Source organism: Homo sapiens, chromosome 17 (assembly GCF_000001405.40).
Source record: "Homo sapiens chromosome 17, GRCh38.p14 Primary Assembly".
NCBI classification, from domain to species: Eukaryota; Metazoa; Chordata; class Mammalia; order Primates; family Hominidae; genus Homo; species Homo sapiens.
In genome coordinates this window covers 76,401,646-76,421,053 of record NC_000017.11, presented here as the reverse complement: position 1 = coordinate 76,421,053, position 19,408 = coordinate 76,401,646, and the positions used below count along the sequence as shown (strand labels likewise).

Below are 19,408 nucleotides of genomic sequence, written 5' to 3'. Positions count from 1 at the left end.
AGGAACTCAGCCCAAATACATGCTGCTATGTGTTTGTATTTATTTTTGTTGGAAATCTTGGCTTAGAAAGCAGACTACCTGATCCTGTCCTGACCTAATTGCAGGGATGTGGGGGGCTGAAGAAAGGGAGGACTCCTACTGTCAAGGTTAGCATTTGGAAGTCTAGGGGGGTGAGTGACAAGGCCGTCCCTGCCAACTCACTGGGGTCAGCCTGTCTCGGGCTTTCTGTGGCCACAGACATAAACAGTGTGTGGCAGGCCGATTTTGAATGCTGGCAGGACCAACACCTGGTGGTGCAAGACCCCAGCTTGCACTCGATCCCAGGACGTCTTGTGTCTCTTCCTCCTTGGCTTCCCATGCCTTTATCAAGCTCCTGCTTCTCTGTGAAAAAGAAATGTCTGCAGCGCCCCAGCCCAGTTTGTCTCGCAAAGATGTAGTTACAGAGTTGTAAGGAGTGGAGAATCATCATTGTTTTGACATAGTCATTCCAGGGTGGGTCATGAAACCTGCCAGTGCCTCTAGTGTAGGTTCTCCTGGCCTGCATGTAGGGTTGCTCGGTGGTGTGTTTGGGTAAAGATGTGGGCGAGTCTGTAACATTTCTGGCCACTGGGATTGATCTAAAATCACAGGTATTAGGAAAACAAAACGATGCAGGAAGCCAGGACCACTGTGGGAAGATAGGCCCCCCTGCACTTCCATAGCCCCCTGCTCCTCCATAGCCCCCTGCTCCCACTTCAGTGGGAACTTGGCCCCCGGGGAAACAACTGGCCTTGGATCAGGGCTCTTGTGTGTTATTTTTACTGCCTTTTCCTACCATATTTGCATTTTTAAAAATAGCACTGCTGAGTGGCTCCTTTTCAGCATGAGTCTGCCTAGGAAGGTACGGTGCATTTTCAGAGTGTGGCTGTTGATTAGCAGCCAAGGCTTGGCATTTGGGGGAGTGTGGTGCGAAGGGGGCCACTGCTGCGCTGGGTAGGGGTGAGGCTCCGGATCATGAGCTGTGGCAGGAGTGAGGCAGCAGCTTTCTGCTGCCCCAAGGTTATGTCATGCTTCTGTGCATTCGCAGTTGCAGGGAGGTGATGAAGGAGGGGCAGGGAGCACCAGGGTCCCGAGGGCCATGGCCGAGGAATGGGGCCAAGCAGGCATGCCTCCTTCTGCCGGCATGCTTCTTTCTCAGACTCTGAGGTTTCCGCGTGGGTAGAGCCACGCTTTCACACCAGCTCGCTCCCTTCTAGTCACAGCTCTGAGCATCGGGTTCTCAGGGCCACAGCATGGCCTTCCTGCCTGGAAGTCTTCAAGGTGGCGAAACCATGTCCACCAGGTTCCCAAGGATGCGTGCTGGCGGGATCTGCTCTTTGCCACTGTGACAGCAACTGGCCCGGGGCCTTGTTCTTGTCAGCATGGAAACTGGCCCAGGCTGGGATCTGGACCACCTGAGCAGAGGTGGGTCAAGGTTGGGGCCATATCAGTTTGAGGACCTGGTGCCTCTGTGTCTTTCCCAAGGGCTGGACCACAGGAAGGGTGTGTCAGGGAGTGCCGAAGGGTGGGCATCAGTCAACTCTCGCTTTCTTAGTTATTTTCAGTCACCTTGCTTTTACGCCTTGATCCCTGGATTTAACTTAAAATGTTTTTTCTATTTTTTTCTTCATTACACCCCCATATCAGCAGTAAACTTAAAAACTTTTTTTAATTAAAGACAAATATTCCTAAGTAGTCAGAGTATATTTTGTTTCAGGAGAAAGGGATTTTTTTTTTTTTTTTTTTTTTTTTGAGATAGGGTCTTACTCTGTCACCCAGGCCAGAGTGCAGTGGTGCGATCGTGGCTCACTGCAGCCTTGACCCCCTGGGCTCAAGTGATCCTCTCACCAGAGCCCCCCAAGTAGCTGAGACCATGAGCATGAGCCACCAGGCCTAATTTAAAAAAAAAAAATCTGTAGAGATAGGGTCTCACTAGGTTGCCCAGGCTGGTTCTCGAACTCCTGGGCTTAAGTGATTCTCAAAGCTCAGCCTCTCAAAGTACTGGTATTACAGCGCGAGTCACCGTGGCAGTCAGAAGTTGAACTGTTTTAACTATCAGATTCACCTAGGGAACATTAATCTCTCCACCCAGAAATTTATTCAATGGGTTTGGGTTGAAAAATCCGTGTTTTTCAAGCTGATAAACAACTGCCTTAAAATCTGTTCCGGACAGGCGCGGTGGCTCACGCCTGTAATCCCAGCACTTTGGGAGGCCGACGCGGGTGGATCACGAGGTCAGGAGATCAAGACCATCCTGGCCAACACGGTGAAACCCTGTCTCTACTAAAAATACAAAAAGTTAGCCGGGCGTGGTGGCGGGTGCCTGTAGTCCCAGCTACTCAGGAGGCTGAGGCAGGAGAATGGCGTGAACCCAGGAGGTGGAGCTTGCAGTGAGCCGAGATCGCGCCACTGCACTCCAGCCTGGGTGACAGAGCGAGACTCCGTCTCAAAAAAAAAAAAAAAAAACCTGTTCCTCCTTCCAAGGGACCTGTGGAGGCTGCTCCATTTTCCACAGCTTCATGGTCTTTTGCTTTCAGCACTGCTGAATTGAATATCTAAACTTCCTCCAACTGTTGGCTTCCACCATTGCCCTTCAGAGGCCAGCACAGGGTGCAGACAGCCAAATGGCGCCTCGCAGTTGCTGGTTGTAAGGCATGGCTCCTGGAAGAGGGTGTCCTATAGTCCAAGTACAGTTTAGTCTGTTACTTTCAGGAATTGTGTACCTCCTTCAGGACTGTGATAAAATGAGTTTTTGTGTGAGGCCTGGAGAGCCCTCCGGGAGGCTGTGGGCTCCTAGAAGAGGGAAGTTTTTTGCCTAATAGTATAGAAAACATTGTCAGAAGGCTGAGGTTCCAGGTCTCACATGTTGGTGTCTGTTCTCTATTATCCCTTCTTCAGGGCGTCCCAGGGCAGTGTGGGGCAGCTATCCCAGACCCCAGGGTGGGACTGGGTGTAGGCCCACTCCACGTGTCCCAGCTCTGTGACCTCCCCCTGCGCCTTCCTCCTGAGGTGGTGAAGAGCATTGAACCTCATCTGCCCACTTCTCCACCTCCACTTCTCCCAAGGCACAACAGCAGCAAGCAGCTCCTCTAAATGCAGTGAGCCAGGACTCAAATACCAGCGGAAACAGCACCATCATGGAGACTGGGAGGAGTTTCTGCCCAATTCTGCAGGTGCAGTGAGACATTCATCTCTTCACCCAGACGTCTCTTCGCGGACGCTGATGCATCCATGCAGCATCAAACACCTGCTCCTCTTCCCTTCCTCCTGTCTCGCCTGGGCCTGCAATAGCTGTTTCCTGCCCCTGGACATGCTTAGCATTCTTTCCTCCTGTAGTCGAAGGCCCTTCGTGGTGCTCTCTGCCAGGTGGTTTTAGTGATGGCCTCTAAAGACCCAGCTCAGTTCAGCCACCCAGTGCACTCTCATTTGGCCTCCATCCATGTCCTCTTATCACTGGTGGTGGGTGTGTCCACACTCATAAAAAGGAGGGGGTAGAGAATTTTGACCATATTAACAAGGAGGTGGTTAATACTCTAAGATTTCCTGTTGGTTCTCTTCAGATAGCTCTCCTGGTGTATCTAAAATCCCCTCACTGTAATAATACATTTAAATCCTGATGTGCCCATACATGAAATTTTGCATTGTGTTCTGTTCTTTGTAAATGTTATCGTCTTCTCCAGGGAAGAGGTCCTCGTCTAGGGACCTGCCCTGGTGCCCCAGCCATGGGGGCCTCCTTGGGCCATGCTGCCCAGGGATGTCGTTGACTTTCGGCTGGCCTGCTCTGATGGTCAATGGGGGTGCCCACATGTGAAGAGCAGAAGCCTGCCCCTGAGTCAGGGAGAGGTGCCAGGCAGGTGGAAATCAGGACCCCAGGAGGTGTTTAGGGGACAAGCTCTGGAGCTGTAGCCGGAAGGGCCTGGAGCTCATTCAGCTCAGTGTTGCCCAACCCCCTGATGAGGCATCTGGTGCCCAGAGATGTGACATGACTCCAGCACACACAGCTGGGGAGTGGCAACTCTGTGGCCCCTGCAGGACCTGGTCCCTGTGCCCTGAAGCTTATACTCCACATCTCTGTCCCCTGCAGTGTGTAGCCTCCATGTGACCAGCCGCAGCTTTGTCTCACTGCACCTGCAGAATTGGGCAGAAACTCCTCCCAGTCTCCATGATGGTGCTGTTCTAGTTAGTATTTGAGTCCTGTTTCACTGTCCTGAGATGAGCTGCTTGTTGCTGTTGTGCCTTGGGAGAGATGGAGGTGCAAAGGTGGGCAGTTGAGGGTCTTAGGACCTAATGACCCAGCCAAGAAGTGACATTTTGGTCAACTCCCACTCTCCAGGCCAGCTGGTGTCCCAGTGATGCCAGCATCCCGGGATGGTATTCATTTCATCTGCCTTGAAATAGTAACTGCAGGTGTTTGAGAAGCGCGGGGAGGTTGGTGTGGGCTCAGGGAGGTTGTGTCTCTTCCACGTGCGGTCTGTCATGGCTGAGAGCAGGCCCTGCCCCACTTCTTGGACACAGCCCCTCCAGGGCTCCTCTTCTCCTGGGGAGCATAGCTACAGGGGAACACCGCTGTTTCCCCCAAATTTTCCCAGAAGCAGCTCAGAGGGATGCAGTCCCTTTTAGCTGTTTCTCTGGGGGGTGTGCATCAGAATCATTTGGGGAACTTTTTCAGATGATTCCCAGGCAGCAGGTCTGGGATGGGGCCTGAGAGTCTGCGTTTCCAGCAAGCTCAGGGAAGATGCTGGGCTGCCAGTCCAGGGCCATGCTTTATATATATACATATACATACATATACACACATATATACACATATACATATACATACATATACACACACATATACACATATACATATACACACACACACGTATGTGTATATAAAGCCACACTTTATATATCTATACACGCACATATATGTATATATGTATACACATACGCATATACATGTATGTACATATGTATACACATACGTATATACGTGTATGTACATATGTACACACACATATATACGTGTGTGTACATATGTATACACATACGTATATACGTGTATGTGCATATGTATACGCATACGTATATACGTGTATGTGCATATGTATACGCATACGTATATACGTGTATGTGCATGTGTATATATTTGTATATACGTGTATGTACATATATTTGTATATACATGTATGTATATATATTTGTATATACATATATGTGTATGCACACACACACACACACACACACACACACACACAGTCTTGCTCTGTTGCCCAAGCTGGAGTGCAGTGGCGTGATCTCAGCTCACTCAAACTCCACCTCCTGGGTCCAAGCAATTCTCCTACCTCGGCCTCCTAAGTAGCTGGGATTACAGGTGCGCACCACCACACCCAGCTGATTTTTGTATTTTTAGTAGAGACCAGGTTTCACCATGTTGGCCAGGCTGGTCTGCAACTCCTGACCTCAAGTGATCCAACCGCCTTGCCCTCTCAAAGTGCTGGGATTACAGGTGTGAGCCACCTCGCCAGGCCCAGGGCCACACTTGAATGGCAGCATGGTTCCAATTGGTCCAGGTGTAGCAAGGGCCATGCTTGGAGACCAGACAGGTCAAATGAGGAAGGGCAGGTGAGCAAAACAAAGGCTCTGGAGTCCTGGCACTTGGGTGACCTTAGGCAGCTCACTTACTTCTCCAAGCCACCCAGTCTCCTGTGGAATGAGAACAAGAGTGGTGCCTCCTTCGTGGGGGTCATAGGGTTGGGAGAGGCAGTGCACGTGGGGTTCTTTCCTGGCAGGCTCCGTCAGGATCAGTTTGTGTGATTAGCAGCCTGGGTCCTCATTCCGTGAACTAACATGGCATCAGACACTGAGGGGTGTTGAGGCTGTGAACTTGCTCTGTGCCTGGCCAGCTGGCCGACTCCCTTCTTGTTCTCAGGGATGCCCGGCAGCCACAGGACCGCAGCCTGTCGCATCTGAAATGGAGCAGTCCGGGGCCACTGGTTAGGTAGTGATACCCAGTCAGGCCTGACAAGAACAGAACATGGAATCATGCTGATCACTTTTCTGCCTTCTACTTATACTTTTGAGGAAGGAGGCGGCCTTCTCCTAAAGATGCCCATCTGTCCCCTCCCTTCAAATGCAGGAGCCAGGCCTGGGCTGTTCTTGTCTTTTTTTAAGCCAGGTTGACAAGCCCAGAGCCAAGACAGAGGGGTGCAGGGCTGGGCTCCTCGGCTCCCAGCTCCTGCCGCCAAGTGCACATATTGCTTATCAAACACCGCAGCATCTGCAGAGACCAGCCCGCTGGCCCCCTGCCAGGCCAAGCTCTGCAGTCCTTCCCCCTCACTTAGCAGGCAGTTGGACTCAGTCCCCTTTCTCTGTCCCTCGGGCAGGCTGTGCCTCCAGGCCATTCCAGCAAGCTGGCGAGCTGCAGCCGAGTTTCCAGGCGGTGATGCAGCAGCACTGTATTGCCCAGCCTGAGAGTCTGCGTTGTGAGATCAGAGAGGGTGTCAGGGGTGAGGGCGTGGGGGCTGTCCCTGGTGTGCAGTTCCCCTGCAACCCCGGTCCTCCTGCCTTCCCCCACCGCCATCCAGACAGGACTCAGTTTCTGGTCTCCCCACCCAGCTTAGTGCTCTATTTACTTGTGTATAACTGTTTTCAGGTGTAATTTCATCTTACCTCCCTCATCTCAGTGTAAGTTCTAGAAAGCTAATTCCCATTCTTAATTATATATTTGTATTCTTGTCTTGTCTTAAGTCTATAGAAAACACTCAAAAACTATTCAATCAGTTGACCTCAGTCTTAGCACAGCTTCTCTGTTGAATGGCTTCCGTAGCTCATGATTGACAGAATTTTCCAGCTAGGGGCACCAACATTTCTTTTACTTCCAGCCATTTCCGGAGGTTCTCCCTCCCCTCCCCCAAGCATGTGAGGCCCCCTGGCCATTTGTGCTTTGCTGGTAAAACCTTCTGTCCTCAGGTGGGCAGTGAGCTGATTGCCGGGTTATCAGGGCTCAGCCACATGATGGTCAACTGCTCTGAGAAAGTCCTTACACTGGCACCAGCCGGAATTACTGACCATTCACATCCTCAAATCCAGTCCAAACTGGAAACTCGGGCTTAGGAAGAAGCTGGAAGAGGAGTCCAGCTCCAACAGGAGGCCCCATTTTCTGCCTCTCCTGGTTTTACTGTTTGAGCCAATTTAGTAACATTTTAAGTCAGGTCAGAAAGTTAAAGTTCCTCACCCTAAAAGTGCCTGAGTGTGACTGTGTGGGTCTTGGGTTTTGTGTTGGTTTGCATGTTTTTTGGTTCCAAGACCAGCTTCTCATGAGAGGGATGTCCTCCCTCTGATGTAACTGCCCTGAAGCCTGGCCAGAAAGGACCGAGAGTCGGCGCAGGTGCTGGGCAGAGAATTCAGTAGAGTGGAGATTCTCCAGCTTCTCAGCAGTCACTCACGGTAAAATACACATTTTATATCATGACCCGGGACACATACGTGTTATATATGCAACTGAACGGGTTTTTTCAAAATATTTTAACTGCAGTTACTTTTTGCCAACCTAATAGTACTTATTCTTACCACATGTATATTAATGCACTCAGGTTTTTTTTTGTCCAGTGTTGACCATGACCCACTAAATTGGTTCTATAACCCACTAATGGGTCACAACACATGGTTTGAAAAAAAGTGCTGCTTTGGGGAATATGCCATTCTACGATTTCCGCAGCTTTTTCAGAAATCCACACTGGGATAAACTTTCCAATCTGGTGTAAGTAGCTTCTCAGGCCATCAAGCTGCATTAACATTGTGGGATGGGGGTGAATGTCACTGGTCCTTACTTCCTCCACCCCATCCCTACGTCAGATTCTTGCAAAATCTTTAAAGACCATATGTGTACCTTATTTTATGTTTGTATTCTTGTCTAGCCTTGAATATATAGGAATCACTAAAAAAGTGGGATCCTAGGCCTCAGCAAGGTTTCCTGCTTCCACCCCCGCAAAACTGAGTTGGGTTTTTTTGTTTCATTTTGTTTTGTTTTGTTTTTGAGACAGAGTCTTGCCCTGTCTTCCAGTCACCTAGGCTGGAGTGCAATGGCGCAATCTCGGCTCACTGCAACCTCCGCCTCCCGGGTTCAAACGATTCTCCTGCCTCAGCCTCCCAAGTAGCTGGGATTACAGGTGCCCACCACCACGCCCAGGTAATTTTTGTATTTTTAATAGAGACGGGGTTTCACCGTGTTGGCCAGGCTGGTCTCGAACTCCTGACCTTGTGATCTGTCTGCCTCAGCCTTCCAAAGCACTGGGATTACAGGCTTGAGCCACTGCGCCCGGCCGAGTTGGTTTTCTTAGTTTGAAAAATATATATGCACTAACACACGTGACCCCTGTCTTGAACTATAGTGGCGCCACACCTGTGCTGGCAGTGGAGTGGGCACATGGCAGCGTGGAGCTAGACCCTTCAAGCTCAGGGACAACCAAAGAGCCAGAGAGGCCTCAGCTGAGACAGGAGGGGAGGGAGAGAGGCTGGTTAGGAGCCCCTGAGGTCCCCAGCACAATTGGAAGCTCTGTCTCTCCCACACCCCCAGTTGGCCACTGTCAAGTTCACTCTTTTTCTATACACCTAGGACTCAGACCCAGCTCAGACAATAAGAGATGGGGGGTCAGGGAGGGGGTGGAGGAGTGGCGTTTCTCAGATTGTTTTTACTCTTTGGGAAGTATCAAGTTGGAATTTAGAAGTTTCCAGTGCTGGTCTAACCTCATCTTCCTTTTAGGAATCTGGTCTTTGAGTCCTGGCCTAGGTCAACAGCTTCAGTCCTGTGTGTGGCTGCTGGACCTTCAGAGGTCTAGGGTCTGGCTTAGTCCTACAAAGGGAAAGCCTCACTCTTTGAACACAAATCCAGGAGCCATTGCAAGCTGACCTGTTGTCTACACACTCACCAGGGACCTAGTGTGGGGCTGGTCGTCCGCTTGTCCTTGAGGTCCCAGGCTGTCTGTGAAGCCTCAGCGGGCACTTGGCATGATGCTGGACCTTTTCTGTTTGAGACTACTGCAAGCTGTGAGCTGAAAACCTAGTATTGGGGCCAGGCACAGTGGCTCACGCCTGTAATCCCAGCACTTTGGGAGGCTGAGGCAAGAGGATCACTTGAGCTCAGGAGTTCAAGAACAGCCTGGGCAACATGGTAAAACCCAGTCTCTACAAAAAAAATAAAATTAGCCGGGTGGTGGCATGTGCCTGTAGTCCCAGCTACTCAGGAGGCTGAGGCAGAAGGATTACTTGAGCCCAGGTGGTTGAGGCTGCAGTGAACCCTGCTTGCGCCACTGCCCTCCAACCTGGGTGGCAGAGTGAGACCCTGTCTCAAGAAAAAAAAGAAAAAATCTGGTATTGATTACATCACTAACCTCCAGAAGCGGTGGGGTTGCCTTTTACCCCGGGATTAAAAGAGAGCACCCATGTCTCGTCCTGTTTGGCCTTCCCTGGTGTCTGACACCTGGAGATGACTGTGGCATGGCTGGTGGCTTCCAGCCTTGAGCTGTAAGTGCTTAGGCTCCATGCAGGCCCCTGCTTTTGGACTTCTTCCAGCTCCCCTTTTTGAACTGGGAGCCCATTTAGTGTTCAAATGCTGGTGCTAGTGGCCAGGCACAAAGCCGCCTTTTCCCTTGGGGCAAGGGCATGGCCTCCAGGAGCAGCCCAGCCTTTAGGAGCCATCCGCTCCTACAGGGACATGACAATCAAAATCACTTGAAAGTAGCTTCTTGGCCAGGTGGAGCGGCTCACACCTGTAATCCCAACACTTTGGTGGCAGGAGGATTGCTTCAGCCCAGGAATTTGAGACCAGCCTGGGTAACATGGCAAAACCCTTTCTCTACAAAAAATTACAAAAATTAGCCAAGCATGGTGGCGTACGCCTGTAGTCCCAGCTATTCAGGAGACAGGTGGGAGTATTACCTGGAAGATGGAGCCATGATTGCACTCCAGCCTGGGCGACAGAGTGAAACTCTGTTCTTCCCACCCACCCCCTCCCCCACCACACCAAAAAAAAGTAGCTTCTTTATTTAGCGTCTTTGTATTTTCAACATGTTGATCAGCCTCAGTTTGTGTTTTCTATTCCTGGATCACTTTATACAGTGAATTTGGATTCCACCTGGTCAGTCAAGGTCAGTGTTATGAATGAGAGTCTGGACCAGGAGCTGCAGGACGAGCTAGTTGCTTTTGCTGTGTTATTGGGGGTCAGCCTCAAGACTGCAGCTCAGAGAAGCAGCATGTGCCTTGGGAGTCAGGCAGCCGTGGAGGGAGAGTGCTCCTGGCAGGAGAGGCCCCCGGTGAGCTTCCCCGGCTCCTGAATGCCTGCTCTGAGTGGCCCCCAGCATAGCTTCGGGGAGCTCAAATGGGGCACAACAGAAGTGCCCAGCCTCCTGCCACGTTGCCCTCTGCCCTGGCATTGTCCCTGACCCCTCACTTACCATTTGATTGCTTTCCTACTTGATGTATCCAGAGGCTGGTCCGCAGACCCACCTTCTCTGCCATTGTTCGGGTCTCAGCACCTGCGTCTCCAGAGCACCTTCAGGGCTTCTCAGCTGTGGCACTGCGGGTGCGTTGGCCACGCCATTCTTCGTTGAGGGATGTCCTGTGCGTTGTTAGATGCTCAGCATTCTGGCCTCTGCCCACTAGATACCAGAACCCCCACCACCCTTTATGACCACCGAAAGTGTCTCCAGACATTGCCAAATGTCCTTTGAGGAGCAAAATTACCCCTAGGTGAGAACCACTGGGCTAACCAGCCTCCGTGCTCCCTCTCTCAGCACGTTCCCTGCCCAAAAATCAGGTAATGTTTTGGATATCACCATCAGGCAGGGCTCTGAGTGGAGGCCTTCAGGGGCTTCCATCTTGCTCAGGATAGAATCTCAAGCCCTCCCTGTGGCTCTCTAAGGCCTGAATAACAGCACCATGCCTTCTGCCTTCTTGAAGCCTTGCCGGCCTGTGCCAGTCACCCCACCCAGCACCTTGACAGCTACTCCTCCCTGCTTGGTAAGCTCATTCCCCATCTCATCCCGATCTCTGGTTCAGCATCACCTCGGAGGGGCCTTTCCTGACCACACATTTAAAATTCTTCACTGTGCTCTCCCTCTGCTGGCCCCCATGTGGCCTAGTTTTTCTTCATGGCACTTGGTACCACCTTCTCTGCGTCTGTCTGTCTGCATCCCCCCTGCAGGAGAATGGGCGCTTAGCATGTGCCAGAATCCCTCTCCTCGGAGGGCAACTGTGTTGTTTGCTGCTCCTGTTTCCAGAGGAGGCACAGAGGATGTCGGTCCTGGGTTCCACTGGGCAGCCCCACTGTTGAGTCACATGTGTGCAAAGTGGTGTGTGTTTGCCAGGGGCGGTGGCTCACGCCTGTAATCCCAGCACTTTGGGAGGCTGAGGAGGGCAGGTCATGGGGTCAGGAGTTGGAGACCAGCCTGACCAACATGGTGAAACTCCATCTCTACTAGAAATACAAAAATTAGCCGGGCATGGTTGTGCATGCCTGTAATCCCACTACTCAGGAGGCTGAGGCAGGAGAATCACTTGAACCCCAGAGGCGGAGGTTGCAGTGAGCTGAGGTCGTGCCACTGCACTCCAACCTGGGCGACAAAGCGAGACTCTGTCTCAAAAAAAAAAAAAGTAGTGTGTGTTCATTTTAAACCAGCCACCACCCCTTCTGGCTTAGAGACACTGTTAGCATTTTGGCATCTTGTCTTGTCCTTTTTCTGTTCAGAAACCTCTGATAGTTACGACTCTCTAAGAAATAGACAATAGGCTGGGCGCGGTGGCTCACGCCTGTAATCCCAGCACTTTGGGAGGCCGAGGCTGGCAGATCACGAGGTTAGGAGATCGAGAGCATCGTGGCTAATATGGTGAAACCCCGTCTCTACTGAAAATACAAAAAATTAGCCGGGCGTGGTGGCGGGCGCCTGTAGTCCCAGCTACTCAGGAGGCTGAGGCAGGAGGATGGCGTGAACCCGGGAGGCGGAGCTTGCAGTGAGCCGAGATCGCGCCACTGCACTCCAGCCTGGGCCAGAGAGTGAGACTCCATCTCAAAAAAAAAAAAGAAATGTTAGACAATAAATAGCTCACCAACTCTGAGGTTGTTTAGAATTTCAGAGCCCATGAGGACAGTTGAAATCTCTTCACCCCCGACCCCAGATCCCCTCCTAGTAACAATTTTTTTTTAAACTACAAGCAGGGCACCCCTTAACAGTAGGGATTGGGTTTATTCCAAGGTTTAGTTTTGTTCACAAATCTGGTGCTTTCCCAGAGTGGGCACAGTGCCCTCTAGTGTTCACCTGCCAGGCCGGCTGGCACCTGTCATTTGCTCTTTGGAGGTAGAAGGGGAAGTGGAGGGCAAACTGTGCCTAGCAGGCATCCGCAGTCAGTGGCCACCATTGCTGCCTTCCACTTGCCTCAGAAATGAAGAGAGTTTTTCTTTCTTTCATAAGCAGAAGAATCACTGTCTTTAAATGTGTAGACCTGCCAGAAGTCTTTCCCTGTCTCTGTAGCTCTGGGGAGAGATGAGCTTTTTATTTGGTTAAGAGAATGGACTCTGGAGCCAAACTGCCTGCGTTCAGGTCCCAGCTCCACTACTTGTGACATTGAATGAGTTGCTTATTTTCTCTTGGTCTCAGTTTGCGTATCTGCAAAATGAGCATGGCAGTGATGTGCTTCATGGGTTGTGGAGCACCTCATGGGCGAAGACAGTGAAACGCTTGGAGAACTGTCTGCCAGGTAGGAAGCACCTGGTTAGCATGAGGCGAAAAACTCCAGAGCTCTTGCATTCGCCAGGAGCACGTCGGTTCCTTCCTGACGGGGGCACTGAAAGGCTTTGTGAAGCAGGTTGTGCATACGGGGGCAGGGAGAGGAGGACATTTGGAAGTAACTGTTCAGTGGAGTGGCTCACAGATGGGAGGGTATGGGCTTATTTGGAGAAAGCCAGTGCCCAGTATGGGTGGGGTATAGGAAGTTAGGAAGGAAAGTCACAAGAGCCTCCCAAGTCATCCTAAGTCCTTCCACATGCCGTTGTCTTGGGTTCTAATTCCCAGTGGAAGGGAGTGTAGCCACCATGTTACCATCCCCCAGCCCCTTGTCGCTCCCACTCTGCTCCCAGCACCATCAGGTCTTTGGAGAAATGTAACTCCTTGTCATAGAAAGGTCAGAAGAGCCCCTGGAGGCAGCATCCTGGTGAGGTGGAGCTGCTGTTGTCTGGAGACCCCACGGGAAGAATGGCATTTGCTGCCAGCCTCCCTCTCCTGGGAGCACTGGGCACTGCCTGCCCTGCCAGCCTCTGGCCTTGCCATGATGCCAGCTTTCACCAGCTGTTTTTTTCTGCTTCAGCCTCAGAGTTGACACCTCGGTTTCCCCTGCACTCCCAAGGGTGCTGTTAGGCTGAACAGGGTGTTTCATCAGTGACGGCACTGATTTAGGTCTGTGTCTGCGTTCTTCTCTCCTCCTTTCCTGGCTGCTCTCTCAGGGACCCCCAAGTGGTGGAGGCAGCCCTCCTGCCACACATGGTGCAGCCCCCCTTGCATTGGATTCTCCTGTCCTGCCGCTTCTGGCTTCTCTGGGAGCAATTGTGGCTTTTTGAAGTCTAAAATGGGAGCAGGGGATTAAGATAGGGTGGGGCAGCACAAAAAAATGCCGTATCTCAGAGTGGAGATTTGGGCACAGAGGGTTACAGGCACAGAATATTCTTTGATTTAGAAAAGTGGCACCGTCACGCCAGCATGCCTCTCCAGCCTCCTGGGGTCTTGGAGCAGAGATAAGGAGAGCCTGACCTTTCAGGGGTCTTCACCCTGCAGCTCACAGGGCCAGTGATCACAGCTGCCGACCTTGCTGAGCACCTACTCTGTACCGTGCACCATGTGCCACCTGCGGTCCGCTGCCTTGGTGACTCCACCTCAGCCATGCTGAGACAGCTGCCATCATCTCTCCTTCCACATGTCGGCAGGAGTGGTTTGCCTGACGTTCCTGTGTCTGACTCAAGAACCCTGCGTTTAAGGACTGGGCAAGTTGTCATTTGAAACAGGCTCATACCTGGATGCAGTGGCTCACGCCTGTAATCCCAGCACTTTGGGAGGCTGAGGTGGGCAGATCACGAGGTCAGGAGTTCGAGACCAGCCTGGCCAACATGGTGAAGCCCCATCTCTACTAAAAATACAAAAATTAGCCGGGCGTGGTGGCACGTGCCTGCAGTCCCACCTACTCGGGAGGCTGAGACGGGAGAATTGCTTGAACCTGGGAGGCGAAGGTTGCAGCGAGCCGAGACTGCGCCATTGCACTCCAGTTTGGGCAACACAGCGAGACTCCATCTCAAAAAAAAAAAAAAAAAAAAAAAAACAACTTGGGCTCATGAGTTCCCATGGGACTCTCTGCACTGCTGGTTGGTGGTGGGGTTCATTGCTTTTCTTTCCTTTTTTTTTTTGTGAGTCACGTTCTTCTACTAGCAGAGTTTGTTTTAGTTGTCATTGCCAGCATTTAAGTGACCTTGAGCCAGTATCTTCCTTTTTCGGCGACTCAGTTCTCCTTTCTTGGTGGTGACCTCTCAGTGCCCCCAGGTCAAGAGAGGCCACCACGGAGGAGTGTCTGGTTGGCTATTTGAGGAAACAGCTCTCCAGCCATGTGGTTTGGGGTCTCGGAGGTGGACACACACAGAGACCCATCCATGATTATGACCCAGTGAAGAACCATAGAGGAGCTGCCCCAGGTTTGAGGAACCAGCTAAAAAAGACGCAGGCTGGCCTGGTGGGAGCATCACGTGCCTGGGCTTTTGGGCGATGGAGCAGCAGGAGGCAGTGGCCGCTGCCAGCTGTGCGTAAAGAGACAATCAGGTGCTCGTGCAGTTGGCCGGGCTCCAAGAGCCAACCATCCTGAGGGTTACTTAGCAGCCTGCAGGGCTCCAAGCGCAGCAGATAAGGTGCAGGCCGCAGCTGGTCAGGAGGATAACCCAGATTAGAACATGGTGTCCGGTGATAGCCAGGCTTCAGGGTGACCCACCGCAGCCCAGTGTCCTGCTTCTCCCCCAGCCCACTCTCCCTCAGCACTGATCAGCTAGGGCAGGCACTTGCAGAGGGCAGAAAAAAGATTGAACGCAAAGCAAATGTTTTGCTCTCTGTAGAATGGGCTGTTAAATCCTTCATTAAAGTGCAGCCTTATGTGATCTGTCATTGAGCTGCACTGTTCAGTGTGAGGAAGGCTACCTCCGGCAAGCCAAGTGCCTCTGGTGGGTGAGACAGTGACCACAGGGGCCCCAGGAGGCCTGTGGGCGTGACGCGCTCTGCCTGTGGGTCTGGGTGCTGGTCGGAGGTGTGTGCGGTCTGTGAAGATACTGCTAGCCAAACGCTTAGGATTTGTGCACTTAGCAGTGTGGATGTGACGCTTTCCTTCAGAAGCTGGAAGAAAACTGTATTCTGTGGTGGCTTCAGAGTCCATTCTCTCACACCTGTATTTTCTTTTACAGCTGAAACTAGAGGACCGTTCTGTGGTGCCCCGAGATGTGGTCCGGCACATGCGATCCACCGTGAGTCCTGCGTCCCCACCCCAGCCCCGGGCCTGGGGGCAGCCACCTTAGGGACTTGAGCCTGCCCACCTCGCACTCTGCATGTGGGAGAACTGGCCAGCTCTGCAGGGGGTGCGCTGGGGTTGCCTGGGCTGGGTCTCCCCTGGTGACCAGGGCTGCTGCACCACGGGACTTGCATGTCTCCTCCCTCCCCCAGGACAGTCAGTGTGGCACGGTGATCGACGTCAACATCGACTGTGCCGTCAAGCTCATCGGCACCAACTGCATCATCTATCCCGTCAACAGCAAGGACCTGCAGCACATCTGGGTGAGCCGGCCCTGTCTTCTCATCATCCTTTCTGGGCCCTCTGGTTCTCTCGGCGGCACGACCTCTGGGCTACAGCCTCCTCCGTGCTCTTGCCAAGCACAGCCTTCCTGGGTCAGAAGGCGGAGCACAGCAGCCAGCTGGCTCCTGTAGCCTTGTTTTCGCTGCTTTCAAGTAAGCCATTTAGACATGAGGTCAGGACGTGCCCTTCCCCAACCCCAGCATAGGCTGCCAGTGTGGTTATCTTTAAGTGTTTTTCCTTTCTCCTCTAACATTTCTTTAAAAAAATAAATTATTGGAAATAGTTTATTTTTTTAATGATTTCAAACTTACCAAAAGTTGTAAATTCCTGTGTCCCTCCATCCAGGTTCCTCAGCTGTTAAGATTTCACTTCGTTTGCTCCATCACCTTCCCTCCCTCCTTTTCCCCGAGATCCCCCTCCGGTCTTTTTTCTTCCCAAAACATTTGACAGCAAGCTATAGATGTGATGCCCTGTCACCCACCCCGGAATACACACACCTCTTGTGTGTTTTCCAAAAATGAGGACAGCCTCCTGTGCAACCACCATATAACCCCCAGATTGGGAAATCAACGTTGATAATTACTGTCCAGTCCACAGACCACATGCAGTTGTCCCAACACTACTCTTTTCTTCTTTGCGGATCCAGGACCCAATTCAGGAACACATCTTGCATTGAGTTGTCATCTCTTCATTTTCTCTCCAATCTGGAATCGCTTCCCAGCCTTTCTTTGTCTTCCATGCCCTGAACAGTGATACATTCAGTAATTTGACCCTCAGCCTGGGTCTTCCTGGTGTTGCCTCATGCCCACGTGTTCTTGGCAGGCCCGCCGCAGAGCTCTGCCCTGGTTCATGGTACCCCATAGCCAAAGTGCTGGGGTTGTTCACTTTTACCCCTGGTCATGTTGGTGTCCACCAGGTCTCTCCACCATAAACTCACCATTTACCCCCTTTAAGTGATTGTATTTTGTGGGAACGTAGTCCCAGATTATGTCTATAACCTGTCATTTGTCAAACTGAAATCCACCAGCTTTGGCCTCCATTCACAGTTCCCCCTGCGCCAGCCATTGCTCTGATGTTGCTAAATGGTGGTTCTATGACTCCCTTGTTCCCCTCATTTCTTTTAGCTGGCATTCTGCTCTGTAGAAGAGCTTTATCTTCTGCCCTATTTATGTATTCTTTTTTTTTATCAGTATGGACTTAGAGATTTCTGTTTTATTCATTGGTTATAATTAATTACTACTATTATCTGTTCTGTTGCTTGGATGGTCCCAGATTTAGCCAGTGGGAACCCCTTCAAGCTGGCTTTCATGTCCTTCTCACATGGCCCTTTTTGTTGGTTTTTTAAGAACTTTCTTTCTTTCTGGCATGAGATGTGCCAGGCTCATCTTGTACTTTTTGTGATCCAGCCCCAGAATCAACCATTTCTCCAAGAAGCCTCATTGTTTTCAGAGAATGGTATTTTTAAAACCCAAGATCTGGATGCTAGGTGTGCTAATTGCTACTTGGCTCTTTTGGGACACACTAGGAAATACATATGTATTATATGTATACACACATCTAAATATGTCACTACCTGCTCTATGTGTATATTAAAATATATGAGTTCAGGCAGAGTTCACGGGCGCAGTGGCTCACCCCTGTAATCCCAACACTTTGAGAGGCTGAGGCAGATGGATCACTTGAGCTCAAGAGTTTAAGACCAGCTTGGGCAACATGGCGAAACCCCATCTCAACCAAAATATATGAAAAAATTGGCCAGGCACGGTGATGCATGCCTGTAGTCCCAGCTACTCAGAAGACTGAGGTGGGAGAGTCGCTTGAGCCCAAAGATGGAGGTTGCATTAAGCCAAGATCACACCATTGCACTCCAGCCTGGGCAATAGAGCAAGACCCTGTCTCTAAAAAAAATAATAATAAAGTAAAATAAAATATATGAGTTCATCCTGATAGATCCACTTCCACCTAAACACCTCAGACTCCTCTTCCTTCTTCTCCTTCCTGCTCCCTTTCTGTTAGTAAACACCTGGGCACCTTCTCCAACAATGAGGGACTTGGCTCTCGATATCCTTGATGTGTTAACGTATTTACTCAGAGCACTGTCCATGTAGCCACCCCCCAGTGGTGTGGCTGCCTCCTCTGCCTGCCACCTCCACAGCCTACTTTGCCAGGTGTCCTGTGTCCATGGATGTCCCATGTCCATGGATGCCATCAGGCCTCTCTGCCCCTGCATCACCCACCCCGTTCCCTCCAGGCAGCCCCACCACCACCACCACTTCCTCCTCACTGGGAAGAGCAGCTGGGATGCAGCCTAGAACTTGTAGGGAGGGCCTGCTGCAGCAGCTGTTTAGGGCTAGTAGCCAACCGGTCCAGTCAGTGAGCTGTCTAGATCCTCCCCCATCCTGTCTTCGGTGGGGCATAGAGGAATCTGTGCCCTGGACATGAACGTTGTCTGCTGTGTCTCACTGCCCCTGCCTCCTTGGTCTGCAGCCCTTCATGTATGGGGACTACATTGCCTATGACTGCTGGCTGGGGAAGGTCTACGACTTGAAGAACCAGATCATCCTGAAGCTATCCAACGGCGCCAGGTAGAGTCTCACCACCAGAGAGCCATCGGCTTGGGAAGGATAGCCTCTTGGAAAGAGGGGAGGAGGAGGGTGTTTCCTCCTGGGGACAGTGATGACAGGTTTGATCAAGGGCAGTGACAGATGTTGCAGGCATCCAGGGCCTAACCCTGTACCGTTCTCCTTATCTGCCGTGGCCTATTTCTGTTGCTCAGTTTCTGATCTGTCCTGGCATGGGGAGAAACGTTTTCACTGAGGATATCTGCTAGAGGCTGATGCTTTACTTGAGGCACTGTGATGGTGCTGAGCAAGCACTCCAGTGGCACTTGGGGTCTTGTTCGTTGTGGGAGAGTTTCTTGTACTACCTCGGGCTGAGTTGATGGTAGAAGACGAATTGTGCTATTTAGGGCATGTGGGCGCATTGGCATCTCAGAATCGCAACTTTTTGGTACTCACTGTGTCCCCTGGTGGAGACCAAACCTCTGTTCTCTGTTTTAGGTGCTCCATGAACACGGAAGATGGCGCCAAGCTCTACGACGTCTGCCCGCACGTCAGCGACTCGGTAGTGTGCTCCATCCAGGCCAGCACCCTTCTCTGATTGCTCAGTCCTCTGGAAGGAGGACTTCGTAGCAAAGACCTGGACCCAGCTAAACAGAGCGGTTTCCTAGAAAAGGGGCGGGTGCGCGCCAGAGGGTCTAAAAGTTTGGGTATAGGCAGAAAGTATTAGAACTTTTTTTTTTTTTTTTTTTTTTGAGACAGAGTCTCACTGTCGCCCAGGCTGGAGTGCAACGGTGCGATCTCGGCTCACTGCAACCTCCACCTCCCGGGTTCAAGTGATTCTTTGGCCTCAGCCTCCCGAGTAGCTGGGATTACAGGCGTGTGCCACCACACCCGTCTAATTTTTGTATTTTTAGTGGAGATGAGGTTTCACCATGTTGGCCAGGCTGGTCTCGAACTCTTGACCTCGGGTGATCTGCCCA

The 19,408-nt window shown here is 51.5% G+C and overlaps 1 protein-coding gene across 8 annotated transcripts in view; it reads left to right on the top strand.

Moving 5' to 3' along the window:
• The window catches only part of UBE2O (ubiquitin conjugating enzyme E2 O), a 63,697-nt gene that overhangs the window by 32,099 nt on the left and 12,190 nt on the right, over positions 1-19,408 (top strand). For 4 of the 8 annotated variants that reach the window (XM_047436517.1, XM_024450867.2, XM_024450866.2 and 1 more), the window contains exons 2-6: positions 3,084-3,191; positions 15,482-15,541; positions 15,738-15,848; positions 18,355-18,452; positions 18,927-18,990. In XM_047436517.1, coding sequence (XP_047292473.1) covers positions 3,084-3,191; positions 15,482-15,541; positions 15,738-15,848; positions 18,355-18,452; positions 18,927-18,990 — 441 coding nt within the window. The remainder of the gene's footprint in view (positions 1-3,083; positions 3,192-15,481; positions 15,542-15,737; positions 15,849-18,354; positions 18,453-18,926; positions 18,991-19,408) is intronic. The other 4 variants (XM_017024935.2, XM_047436518.1, NM_022066.4 and 1 more) reach the window with 1 other exon arrangement.